The sequence below is a fragment of the Homo sapiens genome, chromosome 19, assembly GCF_000001405.40.
Source record: "Homo sapiens chromosome 19, GRCh38.p14 Primary Assembly".
Classification (NCBI taxonomy): domain Eukaryota; kingdom Metazoa; phylum Chordata; class Mammalia; order Primates; family Hominidae; genus Homo; species Homo sapiens.
The window spans coordinates 8,828,632-8,843,385 of NC_000019.10; the positions used below are offsets into that span (position 1 = coordinate 8,828,632).

Here is a 14,754-nt window from a genome sequence, read left to right on the forward strand (position 1 = left end):
AGCTTCTGCTTTTCTGTAACTTACCATTGCCTTCAGAAATCCTTGCCTAGCCGGGCACGGTGGCTCATGTCTGTAATCCCAGCACTTTGGGAGGCCTAGGCAGGCGGATCACCTGAGGTCAGGAGTTTGAGGCCAACCTGGCTAACATGGTGAAACTCTGTCTCTACTCAAAATACAAAAAATTTGCCAGGTGTGGTGGTATGTGCCTGTAATCCTAGGGACTGGGGAGGCTGAGGCAGGAAAATCACTTGAACCTGGGAGGCAGACGTTGCAGTGAGCTGAGATCGTGCCATTGCACTCCAGCCTGGGTGACCAAGTGAGATTCTGTCTCATTAAAAAAAAAAAAAAGGCCGGGTGTGGTGGCTCATGCCTGTATCATCTCAGCACTTTGGGAGGCTGAGGCGGGTGGATCACGAAGTCAGGAGATTAAGACCAGCCGGGCCAACATGGTGAAACCCCGTCTCTACTGAAAATACAAAAATTAACCGGGCATGGTGGTAGGCGCCTGTAATCCCAGCTACTCAGGAGGCTGCGGCAGAACTGCTTGAACCCGGGAGGCCGGGGGTTGCAGTGAGCTGAGATTGCAACACAGTACTCCAGCCTGGGTAACAGAGTGAGACTCCATCTCAAAAAAAAAAAAATTCCTTGCCTAAAAGCCACTGGGGAGGCCAGGATTTGAACATTTAATGTCTGGTCCTCCTTGCTTAGTGCTGTGCAATAAAAGCCTTTCTATCTATCGTAGCAACCCTCAATATAGACATCTGGTTTCACTGCACCACCAGGTGAGCAGACCCCAGTTTGGTTCTGTAACAACTTAAGCTCTCAAGCTAAATATCCTTCCCAAGAAAGCTTCCCTGTTCCCTCTGATCAAGTTCACTAGTGCCAAGCTCCCACATCACTCCTGTCATTCATGGTTTAAAATTTATCTTCCCTGTTAGAAGGTAAACTTTATGTAGGACAGGGGCCATTTCAGGTCCTCCAGGGTCCCTGTGCATCTGACCTAGGACCTGACTCATGGAGGCGACCTGGTTTGCCAAGGATTGTCCCGGTTTGAACACTGGATGCCCTGTGCCCTAGCAAACCCCTTGGTCCTGAAAAAATGAGGATGGTTGGTCACCATTAACTGTGCACTCAAATAATATCTATTGCATGATAAGTAAACATTCCTTCAAGAATGCTGTAGGAAAGCTAGAATGGAAAAGGTGAACACACACACAATTAGTAGAAACCCCACAATTTAATACTAGATTACTTAACATGATTCTCTGCAATATGAATCACCATACTGTTATTTCAGAGAAGTTTTAAGAAACAAAGTTAATTCCTATTAGGAGGTGATATCGTTGGCTCTGTGTCCCCCCACCCAAATCTCATCTCGAGTTGTAATAATCCCTATGTGTCAGAGGAGGGTCCTGGTAGGAGGTGACTGAATCATGGGGGCGGACTTCCCCCTTGCTGTTCTCCTGATAGTAAGTTCCCACAAGATCTGATGGTTTAGAAGTTTGGCGTTTATGTCTTCTCTCTCTCTCCTGCTGCCATGTAAGACGTGCCTTGCTTTCCCTTTGCTTTCTGCCATGATCGTAAGTTTCCTGAGGCCTCCCCCGCCATGCAGAACTGAGTCAATTAAACTTCTTTCCTTTGTAAGTCACTCAGTCTCAGGGAGTTATTTATAGCAGTGTGAAAACTCTCAGGTAGTTCTTTATAGCAGTGTGAAAAAGGACTAATACAGGAGGCAAGGTGCAGAGGACAATCTTTTTGGAAACCAGTTCCCTACCCTTCAATCTATAAGTTGTTGCTTAATATTCTTCCAAATGTTTTCAAATCTCATTAGGAAAAAAAAAATCCCATTACTCAAAACACATCTGGTCGCCGGTCAATTTAATTTTAAATTTGTTACTAATAAATCATCCTTTTTACAAATGCCCTTATATTTTGAAGTTTGGTGGAGGGCCAATATGCCTTTAGAAATCAAATCAACAGCTGGGTGCGGTGGCTCTTGCCTGTAATCCCAGCACTTTGGGAGGCTGAGGTGGGCGGACCACTTGAGGTCAGGAGTTAAAGACCAGCCTGGCCAACATGGCAAAAACCTGTCTCTACTAAAAATACAAACAAAATTAGCTGGGCGTGGTGGCACTTGCCTGTAGTCCCAGCTACTCAGGAAACTGAGGCAGGAGATTTGCTTGAGTCTGGGAGGTGGAGGTTGACATGAGCCAAGATCGCGCCACTGCACTCCAACCTGGCCAACAGAGTGAGACTTGGTCTCAAGAAAAAAAAAAAAAGTCAAATCAAACAGGCCTGAAAAATGTTGCTAAGTAGTCCTGCTAGTTGTTAGTGGGAAGACTTGTAACACTACATATACATGTAAATATTTTCTATACTTATATAAAATTCAGAAACTTTTAGCATTACGGCATACCAGAAAATCTGTCTTTAGCTACAGTTACACATCTTTACGTTATTTGTATGTTTGTTTTGTGGATACTTATTTGCATGTAACTGTATTTACTTATTTACACACATGTAACCATAAACACCTCTGTCTTTTTACCTTGAACTTTCCTTAAGATACCTTCACTCTTAGTGACTTCAATGTGGTTACAACCCCAGCACAGGAAAAGCCCACGAGGAGTTCTTCTACACAGCAGAGCCTGCTGAAACCTTGTTGTAGGTTCCACACTGTACTCACCTGGTCACCCAAAAACCCACAACAACAGGTGGACCTTGTGGCAGGCTTCAACACGAATCTGAGCTTGAATGATGCTTTTCTCATCTGAAAAAAAAAAAAAGACACAAAGATTTCTTTCGAGGCTTTGTATAGGTTGTACAGTTGTTGGATACGGCTGCCGGAAACACCATCCCATTCACTTTTTTTGGGTACTCAATGATTAAATGTGTAATAAGGGCCCAGCCTGTGGGCCATGACTGGCTTTACCTGATTCCCATCTGGCCATCTGCTCCGTAAGAGGGGAGAAAGCAGCTTAACGCTGTGTGCATTTGACTTGCTCAACTTACTACGCTGGAGAGAGATTCTATGGTGACTCCACAGGCTTTAAAAATATCTTGTCACTTAGAGGCCCTATTAAGTGACTAAACTGAATTTTTAACAATTTATGTAGTTTATTCAGAACTGCAGAGATTTTTTTTTTAAGGCCCTAGAGCAGGGTTTCCCAACCTGGCACTACTGATAATTCTTTGTTGTGGGGGACTGTCCTGTACAACGTAGGATCTTTAAGAGCAAGCAGCGTCCCTCTTCCCCGGCCTCCACCCTCTAGGTGACAGTAGCAGCCTCCCCTCCCCACAATTTGTGAAAACCACAGTCGTCTCCAGCTACAGCCAAAAGTCCCCTGGGGTGCGGAATCGCCCCGGGTGAGGGCGACTGGGGTTCCCTGAGGAGGCAACAGCGGCGCGGGGCCCCGACCCAGGAGCAAGCAGCAGCTTCGTGCTGACCTAAGCTCACAGCCCGAGGCCTCATGAACCGAAACACGGCTCCCTGGAGGGACGCAGGGCCCGTGGCTGGCGGTGTCCGCGGCCCACGTCGCCCCCTGGACTCGGACCCGAGCCCCCGCCAGTCGCTCACCGAGCCCGGCCCCTCCCGCGGGGCCAAAAGCGCCGACTCGCGGGGACGGAGGGACTCGCTCCCCGCTGCCCCACGCGCGGCCCCTCCCACGGTACCGCCCCGCGCTTCCGCTTCCGGTCTGGGGAGAGGTGCGCTGCACGTCCCCTTCCGGCTCGCGCGGGCAGCCTCGCAGAGTCGAGCGTGTTGGGGGTTCGGCGCTTAGGCGACAGGCGCGGCGGGCGGGAGCGGCGGCCGCGAACCCCAGCCTTGGGCAGAGGTGTTCTAGTTTGCTTAGTGGGCACAAAGTTGGGCCCTGGCCTGGGGCAGTAGCGGGGGTAAGGTTGGCCCTGGGGGCGGGGCCAGGCTGTGAGCCGCACGAGGCCTGGGGGCGGGGCTGGTTGTGGGCGGAGATCAGTTCCGGGGCGGGGCTGAAGGCGGGGAACCGGCTGAGGCCGTACCAGGCCTGGAGGGCGAGGCTGATTGGGCAGAGACCAGTTCCAGGGTCGGGGCTGTGGGTGGGGCCCAGTTCTCGGGGCGGATGGTATAAGGCTTCTAGAGCGGGGATGACTGAGCAGAGACCAGTTACAGGGGTGGAGACCTCCATTTCCGGGGCGGGGCTGAGCGGGAACCAGGCTGTGGTTGTGACAGCCCTGGAGGTTGGGGCTGGCTGTGGGCGGAGATAAGCTCCGGGCCGGGCGGAGGGCGGGGACTAGGCTGTGGGTGTACCGGTCTTGGAGGGCAGTGGTGATTGGCAGAGAGCAGTTCTAGGGGCGGAGCTATGGGGTGGCAGCAAGCCTGGGGGCGGGGCTGACTGTGGGCGGAGACCAGTTCTGGGGGCGGGACTGTGGGCTGCACCAGGCCTGGGGAGGGGGCAGTGGGTGGAGACCAGTTCCAGGGGCAGGGATCTGGGTATGAATAAAAGGGTGTATGATGTGGGTGGGTTGGGATAGGCCCAGGAGCCAGGATTGTGGGAGATCAGATTCAGGGGTAGGGCCTTCCTTGGATCCCTAGATTGTTGATACAGTTACTGCCCCATGTTCATACAACCCAATAGGATCAGATTATGTATGCACATTTGTCTATAACTTGCTTTCCCAAGGCAGAACATAGTGATTTAACACTAAGAGTTTAGGGGAGCAGGAGAGGACTGGGTCATAGATACACATATAGGAAAACTTAAGAATGGTACAAAGTCAGTCAAATATTCTCCCACCACGGTCTTTCAGTTCTTTTGCTCAGAGGCAAAAATAATTTTCTCCTCTATCTTTCCAGATATAGTGTGGACATGTATGTGTGTGTATGTGTGTATGCCGTAGTCATATTCATGGAATAAATGCTATTACCTCCCCCCCAACAAGTCTCTGTTTTATACACCATGGATATAGACTGAACAAAATAGGTAAACGTCCTTGCCCTCAGAGAACGTGCATTTTAGTTGTGAGTTGGGCAGGAGAAATGGACAGTGAATGTGATAAATAGAATACATGGTGGGTTGGTGCGTTAGATACCACTAAGTGCTGGTTGGACCTGGTGGCTTACGCTTGTAATCCCAACACTTTGGGAGGCCGAGGCAGGCAGATCACCTGAGGTCAGGAGTTCGAGACCAGCCTGCCAACATGGTGAAACCCCGTCTCTACTAAAAATACAAAATTAGCCGGGCGTGGTGGCGGATGCCTTGTAATCCCAGGTACTTGGGAGGCTGAGGCAGGAGAATAGCTTGAACTCGGGAGGTGGAGGTTGAAGTGAGCCGAGATTGCAGCCGGTGCACTCCAGCCCGGGTGACGAGCAAGACTCCATCTCAAAAAACAAAACAAAACAAAAACCAAAAACCATAAACAAAAAAAGATACTGGTAAGTGCAAAGGGAAAAAATTTTATGTAAGAGAGTGGTAACATTTAAAATCAGCCAGGAAGAAATACTTTCAATGAATGATATTGTTTCATGCACCCGTCCTTTCAGAAAAAAATAGTTAGATCTCTGCTTCCCAAAAATATCCATTTTCAGGTGGCTGAAGGAAGTTTAAGCAAAAATGAACAAGTTCAAAATTCAATATACTAGGAAAGTTCACTGTGGAAAGACTGTTCTCTTCAACAAATTGTGCTGGGACAACTAGATGCCAATATACAAAAGAATGAAATTGGGCTGGGCGTGGTGGCTCACGCCTGTAACCCCAGCACTTTGGGAGGCTGAGGCAGGCAGATCACGAGGTCAAGATATCGAGACCATCCTGGCTAACATGGTGAAACCCCGTCTCTACTAAAAATACCAAAATTAGCTGGGCGTGGTGGCGGGCGCCTATAGTCCCAGCTACTCGGGAGACTGAGGCAGAAGAATCGTTTGAACCCAGGAGGTGGAGATTGCAGTGAGCCGAGATCACCCCACTGCACTCCAGCCTGAGAACAGAGCGAGACTCCATCAAAAAAAAAAAACAAACCAAAACCAAAAAAAAACAAAAAAAAAACCAACCAACCAAGAAACAAACAAAAAACAGAGAATGAAATTGGACCTCTACTTCACACCATGTACAAAAGTGAGCTCAAAATAGATCATAGACCTAAAGGTAAGAGCTAAAACTATAAACTTCTTGGAAGAAAACATAGGTGTCAAACTTTGTGATCTTGGGTTAGGCAATTGTTTCTTAGATATGACATCAAAAACAGGTGGCGAAAGAAAAAATATATAAATTGGACTTAACATTAAAAAACATTGATGCTTCAAAGGACACCATCAAGAAAAAAGACAAACATGGACTGGGTGAAGACATTTACAAATGATTTATCTGATACATGACTTGTATTCAAAATATATAAAGGCTTGCGACTCAGCAATAAAAAGATACCCAATTAAAAGTGAACAAAGAGTTTTTTTTTTTTTTTCTTTTTGAGGTGGAGTCTCCTTCTGTCACCTAGGCTGGAGTGCTGTGGCACCATTTTGGCTCACTGCATCCTCTGCCTCCTGGATTCAAGCGATTCTCCTGCCTCAGCCTCCCAAGTAGCTGGGACCACAGGCGTTCACCACCACGCCTGGCTAATTTTTGTATTTTTAGCAGAGAGAGGGTTTTGCCATGTTGGCCAGGCTGGTCTTGAACTCCTGACCTCAAGTGATCTGCCCACCTTGGCCTCCCTAAGTGCTGGGATTACAGGTGTGAGCCACTGCACCCAGCCTGAAAAATGAACAAAGAGTTCGAATCGTCATTTCTACAAAGAAGATACACAAATGGCAAATATATACATGAAAAGATGCTCGGCCCCATTAATCATTAGGGAAGTTAATATCAAAACTTCAATAAAATACTACTTCACACCCATTGGGATAATTAAAATTAAAAAGATAGCCAATAACAAAGATTGGCAAAGACAAGGAGAAATTGGAATTCTTATACATTGCTGTCAGGATTGTAAAATGGTGCACCCACTTTGCAAAATAGTTTGGCAGTTCCTCAAAAAGTCATAGAGTTGCCACGTGACCCAGCAATTTTATTTCCAGTATATGCCCAAGAGAAATGAAAACATGTGTTCACATGACAGCTTGTACATGAATGTTCATAGCAGCATTATACATAATAGCCCAAAATTTTGTATGTCCCAAATATCAGTCAACTGATGAATGGATAAATAAAATGTGGTATATCCACACAACGGATTATTATTCATCCATTAAACAGAATACATATTCCATGGATGAACCTTGAAAACATTACGGTAAGTAAAAGAAGCCACTCATAAAAAACCCACATTTTGTATAATTCAATTTAAATAAAATTTCCAGAATAAGAAAATCCAAAGAGACAATAGATTAGTGGCAAATGTTGGGGAAAAGGGAAATGAGGGGAAGTGGGTAATGGTATGGATTTCATTTTAGATGAAAATAAGATTAGATAGTGGTGACGATTGCGCAACTGTGTGAATGTACTAAAAACCATTTTACACAAAAGTGTAAAAACTGTACACTTTAAAAGGTTGAATATTATGGTAGCTCAATAAAGTTTTTATTTAAAAAATGTAGAATTATACACATAAATTCTTCAGTTAGGCATAATAAGAGAATAAAAGTGGAAAAATAAAATACTACATAAATATGAGTGCTTCTTCCTCAAAATAATAGAAGAAAAGTGGAAAAAGTAAAATACTACAAAAATGTGAGTTCTTCTCTTCTTCCTCTTCCTCCTCCTCCTTTCTTCCTTCTTCCTTACTCCTCCCCTTCCTCCTCCTCCTTGTCCTCCTCCTTCTTCTTTCTTCTTTCCTCCTCCTCCTTCTTCTCTTCCTTTTCCTCCTCCTCCCCCCCTCTCCTCCTCCTTCTTTCTTCTTTTTTCTTTTTTTTTGGAGACAGGATCTTGCTTTGTCACCCAGGCTGGAGTGCAGTGGTGCAAACATGGCTCATTGCAGCCTCGACCTCCTGGGCTCAAGTCATTCTCCCTCCTCAGCTTCCCGAGTAGCTGGGACTGCAGGCGTGCACCACCACGCCCAGCTAGTTTTTGTATTTTTTATAGAGACAGGGACTCGCCACACCACAGAGGCTAGTCTCGAACTCCTGAGCGCAAGCAATCCCTTTGCCTTGGCTGCCCAAAGTGCTGGGATTTTAGGCATGACCCCATCGTATCCAGCTTAAGTGTATCTTAATTTTCCACACCATCACATTATTAAATGGCAAAACAAACTGGGGATAAATAATTGTAAAAATCTATGACATGTGGGCTCATATCATTATTACATAAAGAATATTTTGGATAAATAAGCAAAAGATGAACAAGCCAGTAAAAACATCATCAAAGACAAAGGCTATGAACCACACACTCCTTTACAAATACATACAACTGCCCAATACTCTAATTAGCAAAGAGGCATAAATTAAAATAATGGCATTATGTTTGTGCCTCTCAAGTAATGCAAAACATTTTAAATGGCCAGTTTGTCAAGACATGAAGAAATGAATGACCTCGCCCTCTGCTAGCAGCATTGATAAGTACCAGTTTCTCAGCAGGTACTTGGTAACATATACCCAAAGCTGTACGAATGTGCATATTTATCAACCCAGCAATTTTACAGTGATCTAAATCAGAGAAATGTTTGAACCTTGTTAAAAAGGATTGATCATCTACCTCCTATTTAATATGACAGAAGATTAGTAACAATGGCAAAATAAGTACTGGTGTAGCCGTATGAAATGACATTCATGGGCCTTAAAACAACAATGTCAATGTACATTTAGTTATATTAAATTACAATCGGGATATATTGTTAGATGTGAGAAGCTGGCTGCAGAATGAAGTCGGCAGTGTGTATCCATGTTGTAACCCACAAAGTCTAGGAATATAAAATTCCAGGGCTCGACAACCACTTAATGCCTGGACCCTTTCTGCCTCGAATGGGGGTGGCTAGAAACTTCTCTGGCTGGAGGGCAGAAGGCAGAGTGCAAAGTTTTGCCTCAAGCCTTGTGACAGGGATAAAGACCCTCACCCTTCACACTGGCCTCATGGACAAGACAAGTTCTTGCTTTCCCACAGAGTACCTGAGATCTGAGGATACTTTATACTCTGATAGTCACTTCCGGCTACCTTAATTCTGCTAGAGTAAAAACAACTAGTAGCTTCCACCTAACCAGATGACGCATAAAATAATTGCTACTAAATATTTCATTCCATATTTTGGTTAGTAAGGAAGAGAAGGAGGTAAAGAAACTTGAAGTGAAACAACTGGAAGGGACCAAGATGGAGCAGGCAGAGTTCCTTATACACAGGAGACAGCAAGGCTGAAATTCTACCCAGAAGATCAGCAGCCCTGGCCAGGCACGGTGGCTCACGCCTGTAATCCCAGCACTTTGGGAGGCCGAGGCGGGCGGATCATGACATCAAGAGATTGAGACCATCCTGGATAACATGGTGAAACCCCGTCTCTACTAAAAATACAAAAAATAAGCTGGGCGTGGTGGTGCACACCTGTAGTCCCAGCTACTCAGGAGGCTGAGGCAGGAGAATCGCTTGAACCCAGGAGGCAGAGGTTGCAGTGAGCCGAGATCGCATCACTGCACTGCACTCCAGCCTGGACGACAGAGCAAGACTCCATCTCAAAAAAAAAAAAAAAAAAAAAAAAAAAAAAAGATCAGCAGCCCCACTATCACCTTCCTCCAGGGCAAGGCCACCTGTGGAAATGACAGATGTCAAATAATCCCCAAAGGAATTGCTAAGGATGGAGATGTCCCATGGAAACAAACTGCATATTGCCTAACCCTCTCCCGAGGACATGGATATATTGAGATAGTAAATGTTTTGAAGGCTATGCAACTCTGCAAACAACCAAGCATGCACAGAACACAGGCTGTCTGGTGATAACTCCTAGATAAGCACCAATATAGCACCTCAGCCACAGATGGCATGCCACACACAATGAATTCTAAAAGTCTATTTTAACCTGCGATGGCCAACATATTCTCATGTGTGCATGCAATCAATGTAAAAATTATTGAGACGTTTTAGGTGCGACTGGCTGGGGCTGGCATTGTTGGTGGTAAAATAATTTCCCAAGACAGTCGTAGGTAAAGAAAGACAGATTTATTAGAGAAGATATGAAGATAGGTTGCAAGGATGCAACAGGCAGCACAGAAGAGAAGGGGCCATTTGCAAAGAGGCAGAGGTTGGAGGGGATTTTATAGGGTCGTGCTGGAGGCGGCTATGTGCACGTGAGGTGTGCAGATAAGGTCGTGTTCCTGGGACTATGTGCAGACCGAGGTCTTTTGGAACAGAATGTCATGCCAGTGGGTTGTTTGCAGTTAGCCATCTCTCAGAACAATTGTTCTCCCCCAACCAGGGGCCCTTTCCTTGTTGTTGGTTACTTATCTTATTAGGACTCCACATGAGACCTTTTAAATGATTTTTGTTTTTTGTAATGAGTTCCAGAAATCCAGTTCGTACTTTCCACTGATGGCACATCTCAATTTGCGAGTTGAATGTTATCAGATGTACTTGCCCCGTATTTAGATTTTCTTTTTTTTCTTTTCTTTTCTTTTTTTTTTTTTTTTTGAGACAGAGTCTCGCACTGTCGCCCAGGCTGGAGTGCAGTGGCGCCATCTCGGCTCACTGCAAGCTCCGCCTCCCAGGTTCACGCCATTCTCCTGCCTCAGCCTCCTGAGTAGCTGGGATACAGGTGTGTGCCACCACACCCACCTGTATTAATATTATGGCTAATATTTTGTATTTTTAGTAGAGATGGGGTTTCACTGTGTTAGCTAGGATGGTCTCAATCTCCTGACCTCATGATCTGCCCGCCTCGGCCTCCCAAAGTGCTGGGATTACAGGTGTGAGCCACCGTGCCTGGCCATATTTAGATTTTCTAGGGTTCACAGCTGTAAAGTAAGATTCACATGTCCAGGTTGTTCCAAGCATACTTCAAAGCTTTCCACTTCAAGAGTCATGTCAGATGAATAATGAGAATTCCTTTGGGATCTAACAACAAAGGGGTCATTGTGGCCTTAGCAACAGAAGCAGCTGAGAACGGTGAAGGAAAACAGAAGTTTGGGGTGGCCTGAGGAGTTGCTGGAGGTGAGGAGATAGGAGACATAGATGTAGATGATCTTTTCTCAGTGGTTCATAGCTAAGGGGAAGGGATAGGCAGTAGTGGTGAAGGAGGGGGTCCCAGGAAGTTTAGGAGAGGAGTGTCTGTGTAGCTCGGAGAAACTTGAACATGTTTAAATGCCGAAGAAGGGATTCAGTAGAAAAACAGAAGTTAAAGATATGGGGGCATCTGTAATCCCAGCACTTTGGGAGGTTGAGGCGGGCAGATCATGAGGTCAGGAGTTCGAGGCCACTCTGGCCAACATGGCGAAACCCCATCGCTACTAAAAATACCAAAAAATTAGCTGGACATAGAGGTATGTGCCTGTAATCCCAGCTACTTGGGAGGCTGAGGCAAGATAATTGCTTGAACCCGGGCAGTGGAGGTTGCAGTGAGCCCAGATCATCCCACTGTACTCCAGTCTGGGCTATAGAGCGGGACTCCGTCTCAAAAAAAAAAAAAAAACAAAAACAGATGATACAAAGGTTACATTGCAATATTGGAAGCATAAAATTAACAAAAAGGAAGAAGGAATGAGGCTCAGATCACTCTTGGTGGATAAAGGAAACATATTTATGTATTTATGAGACAAGGTCTTGCTCTGTTGCCAAGGCTAGAGTACAGTGGCCTGATTGCCGCTCACTGCAACCTCGACCTCCTGGGCTCAAGCTATCCTCTTCACTCGGCCTCCCTCACTCAGCTGGGACCTCAGACATGTATCATCACCCCCAGCTAACTTTTTAATTTTTAGTAGAGATGGGGGTCCCCCTACGTTGCCCTGACTGGTCTCAAACTCCTGTGTTCAAGTGGCCCTCCCGCCTCAGCCTACCAAAGTGCTGGGATTAGATGTGTGAGCCACCATGCCTGGCAGGAAATCTCTTTAAATACAATTAAAGGAAATTTGGAAACATTCAATGCTTATCAGGGATATTTGCAGATTTGGCAACTAACGTCTTTGGGAACCATCAGGTAAGTTAAGGAGAATTAAATATCTATGAGGAAAAAAGAAAGCTGGAGAAAATTTTGCAACAGGTTTTGGGGAAAATCAAGGAGTAAACATGACAGTGCATACACAGAAAATAAAGTTTCTACGCATGATGGATTCTTCCCAGTTGATGGAGAATATTTTGTATTTATAGTGGCACTAAGACGTCATGTCACGTGATTCTTTTTTCAGCAGTGATCATATGACGGTGGTAGCCATGGCGTCACAGAGAACAGGGACCTTCCAAGTTTGAAGTTTTACAAGGCAGGTGTGATAAGTGGTAAGGAATTTTGGATTAATCTAAATGAATTTTTTTTTTTTTTTTTAGACAGGGTCTCATTCTGTTGCTCAGGCTGGAGTGCAATGATGTGATCTCTGCTCACTGCAACCTCCACCTCCTGGGTTCAAGTGATTCTCCCACCTCAGCCTTCCGAGTAGCTGGGACTACAGGTGTGCGCCACCACACCCAGCTAATTCTTTTTTTTTTTTTTTGGTAGAGATGGGGTTTCACCATGTTGGCCAGCCTGGTCTTGAACTCCTGGCCTCAAGTGATCCACCCACCTCGGCCTCCCAAAGTGCTGAGATTACAGGCGTGGAGCCACCGTGCCCGGCCTCTAAGGGAAATATTGAGGTCGCAGACCACAGAATCCAAGAGTGCTAGGAATCAGAGGAGAGAGAGGAAGGTGAAGATACGGAGGTCCGGAGTAATTCAAATACCCAAATCACAGATACTTGCTCCTCAAGGTATGTTCATCAAGAACAGGTATCTATGGTATGGGCATTTGAATTAAAAAACCTGGAAATCAGAAATTTATAGTGGGTGAATAAGTTTTCCGATTTATTTATTTATTTGTTTTGAGACAGTCTCGCTCTGTTGCCCAGACTGGAGTGCAGTGGTGCGATCTCGGCTCACTGCCACCTCCAGCTCCCGGGTTCAAGCTATTCTCCTGCCTCAGCCTCCCGAGTAGCTGGGATTACAGGTGCCCGCCACCATGCCTAGCTAATTTTTGTATTTTTTGTAGAGATGGGGTTTCGCCATGTTGGCCAGGCTGGTCTTGAACTCCTGACCTCAAGCGATTCGCCTGCCTTGGCCTCCCAAAGTGCTGGGATTACAGATGTAAGCCACTGTGCTGGGTCAGAATTATTTATTTTTGAGCATGGCTGTTTGGGTTGCTGAAAATGTCTGGGGTGTGGGATTAAGGCTCAAAGAGCAGAGCAGTTGATAATTTCATTATTGACTTACAAGCTGCAGGAACTGTGCAAACCAAGAGGTCAATGTGTTAAACAGATGAATAGTCAAGTAATGCATAAGAATGGCAGGATTTGGGCTGGGCACGGTCGCCCATGCCTGTAATCCCAGCACTTTGGGAGGTCGAGGGGGGGTGGATCACTTGAGTTCAGGAGTTCCAGACCAGCCTGGACAATATGGTGAAACCTCGTCTCTACAAAAACCACAAACAGCCAGGCATGGTGATGCACGCCTGTAGTCCCAGCTACGCGGGAGGTTCAGGTGGGTGGATCACTTGAGCCTGGGGAGGTAAAGGCTGCAGTGAGCTGTGATTGCACCACTGCACTCCAGCCTGAGTGACGGAGTGGGACAAAAAAAAAAAAAAAAGGCAAGATTTGAGATTTAGAAAAAGACTGTCATATTTGTCATGAGAGGGAGTATCAGGACTTGAGCATTTAAGAGTGACAAGGGCAGAAAGAGAATAAAATAGTACTCAAACAAGGAGGGGGTTTGCAGGATGATGAAGGAGATTTTGACCTTGAACTTTCTGTGCTTGACTCAAATCTGCCTGATGATGTCCCAGGAAGCAGGTCAGACCTATCCCCAGAGGGAGAGAGGAAGGATGAAAGTCCAGAACAGCTGAGATCCTTGTCCTGAGAAGGCAGGCTTCATTGATCAATTTGACCCCATTTCATGATTTATTTTAATAGTGTAAGAGGAAAAGAAGTGTGATGGCCAAGAGTTCACAGAGGAAGCAACGTGACTGTGTAAACCAATGCAAATCAAAGCCTGGCTTGAGCACCTCAATCCCTTTGAGAATGTCCAGTTACACATTCAAGAGGCCAGTAACGAGAATTACACCCCATCCTGGCAATGAGGTCAGATACCATCAATGGGAGGAGAGCTTGGAGAAGCCTCAGCAGGTCTGCTGGCAGAGGAGACTGCAGGGACTCCAGGCTTACAGCAGTGCAGGAGAACTTTCAAGCACTTTGGATCTTGCCAATACCTTGCAAAAACTTGTCCCTAGTTACACAGGTGGATCTCTGCTGGAGGATCTTGCCAGTGGTCTGGAGCACTCCTGCCCCATGCCCCACCTTGCCTGCTCTTCAGATGCGGTGGAGATAATTCCTGCAGAGGGAGTGGGTATCTCGCAGCTCCTCTGCAAACAATTTCTGGTTACTGAGGAAGATATCAGGAAACAGGAAGGGAAAGTGAAGACAGTCAGAGAGAGACTCGCAATAGCACTGATTGCGGATGGACTCGCTAATGAGGCAGAGAAAGTGAGAGACCAAGAAGGCCGTCCTGAAAAACGCTAAGAAAAAAAGGGAAGATAGTGCAGATGAAATAAAGTGTAATCCTTTATTAACATCTCTTTGCAGTGTCCCCAATGAGGTTTTTTTGCTTTAAGCTCTTGAAACTTTAAAATATGCCAATACTT

At 45.9% G+C, this 14,754-nt stretch overlaps 2 protein-coding genes across 17 annotated transcripts in view, besides 2 other annotated features; one reads left to right on the forward strand and one right to left on the reverse strand.

Moving 5' to 3' along the window:
* The window catches only part of ZNF558 (zinc finger protein 558), a 31,975-nt gene extending 22,462 nt beyond the window's left edge, over positions 1-9,513 (reverse strand). For 3 of the 13 annotated variants that reach the window (XM_024451387.2, XM_024451395.2, XM_024451394.2), the window contains exons 1-3: positions 3,578-3,673; positions 2,687-2,770; positions 2,139-2,260 (exon numbers count right to left, since the gene is read on the reverse strand). The gene's annotated coding sequence lies outside the window, so the exon portion shown is untranslated. Of the gene's footprint in view, positions 1-2,138; positions 2,261-2,686; positions 2,771-3,447; positions 3,674-9,491 lie in introns of those variants that run through there. The other 10 variants (XM_024451388.2, XM_047438269.1, XM_047438270.1 and 7 more) reach the window with 4 other exon arrangements.
* Positions 3,453-3,722: a silencer, noted in NCBI's record as "silent region_10035". NCBI's record gives its function as "represses an Ori minimal core promoter by ATAC-STARR-seq in GM12878 lymphoblastoid cells {active_cell/tissue: GM12878}" and the evidence as "EXISTENCE:reporter gene assay evidence [ECO:0000049][PMID:35858748]".
* On the forward strand, positions 3,746-14,688 carry MBD3L1 (methyl-CpG binding domain protein 3 like 1). Of its 4 annotated transcripts, none has more exons than NM_001393532.1 (3): positions 3,746-3,891; positions 12,284-12,368; positions 14,027-14,688. In NM_001393532.1, the coding sequence occupies exon 3, from the start codon at positions 14,048-14,050 to the stop codon at positions 14,630-14,632; it is 585 nt and encodes a 194-aa protein (NP_001380461.1). In that variant the 5' UTR covers positions 3,746-3,891; positions 12,284-12,368; positions 14,027-14,047; the 3' UTR covers positions 14,633-14,688. The 4 variants fall into 4 exon arrangements, with proteins under 4 accessions (NP_001380461.1, NP_001380462.1, NP_001380463.1 ...); NM_001393533.1 differs by lacking the exon at positions 3,746-3,891 and adding an exon at positions 11,061-11,090 and having other exon boundaries at positions 12,281-12,368; NM_001393534.1 differs by lacking the exons at positions 3,746-3,891; positions 12,284-12,368 and adding an exon at positions 11,061-11,090.
* Positions 4,223-4,482: a silencer, noted in NCBI's record as "silent region_10036". NCBI's record gives its function as "represses an Ori minimal core promoter by ATAC-STARR-seq in GM12878 lymphoblastoid cells {active_cell/tissue: GM12878}" and the evidence as "EXISTENCE:reporter gene assay evidence [ECO:0000049][PMID:35858748]".
* Positions 14,689-14,754: the final 66 nt, after the last annotated feature.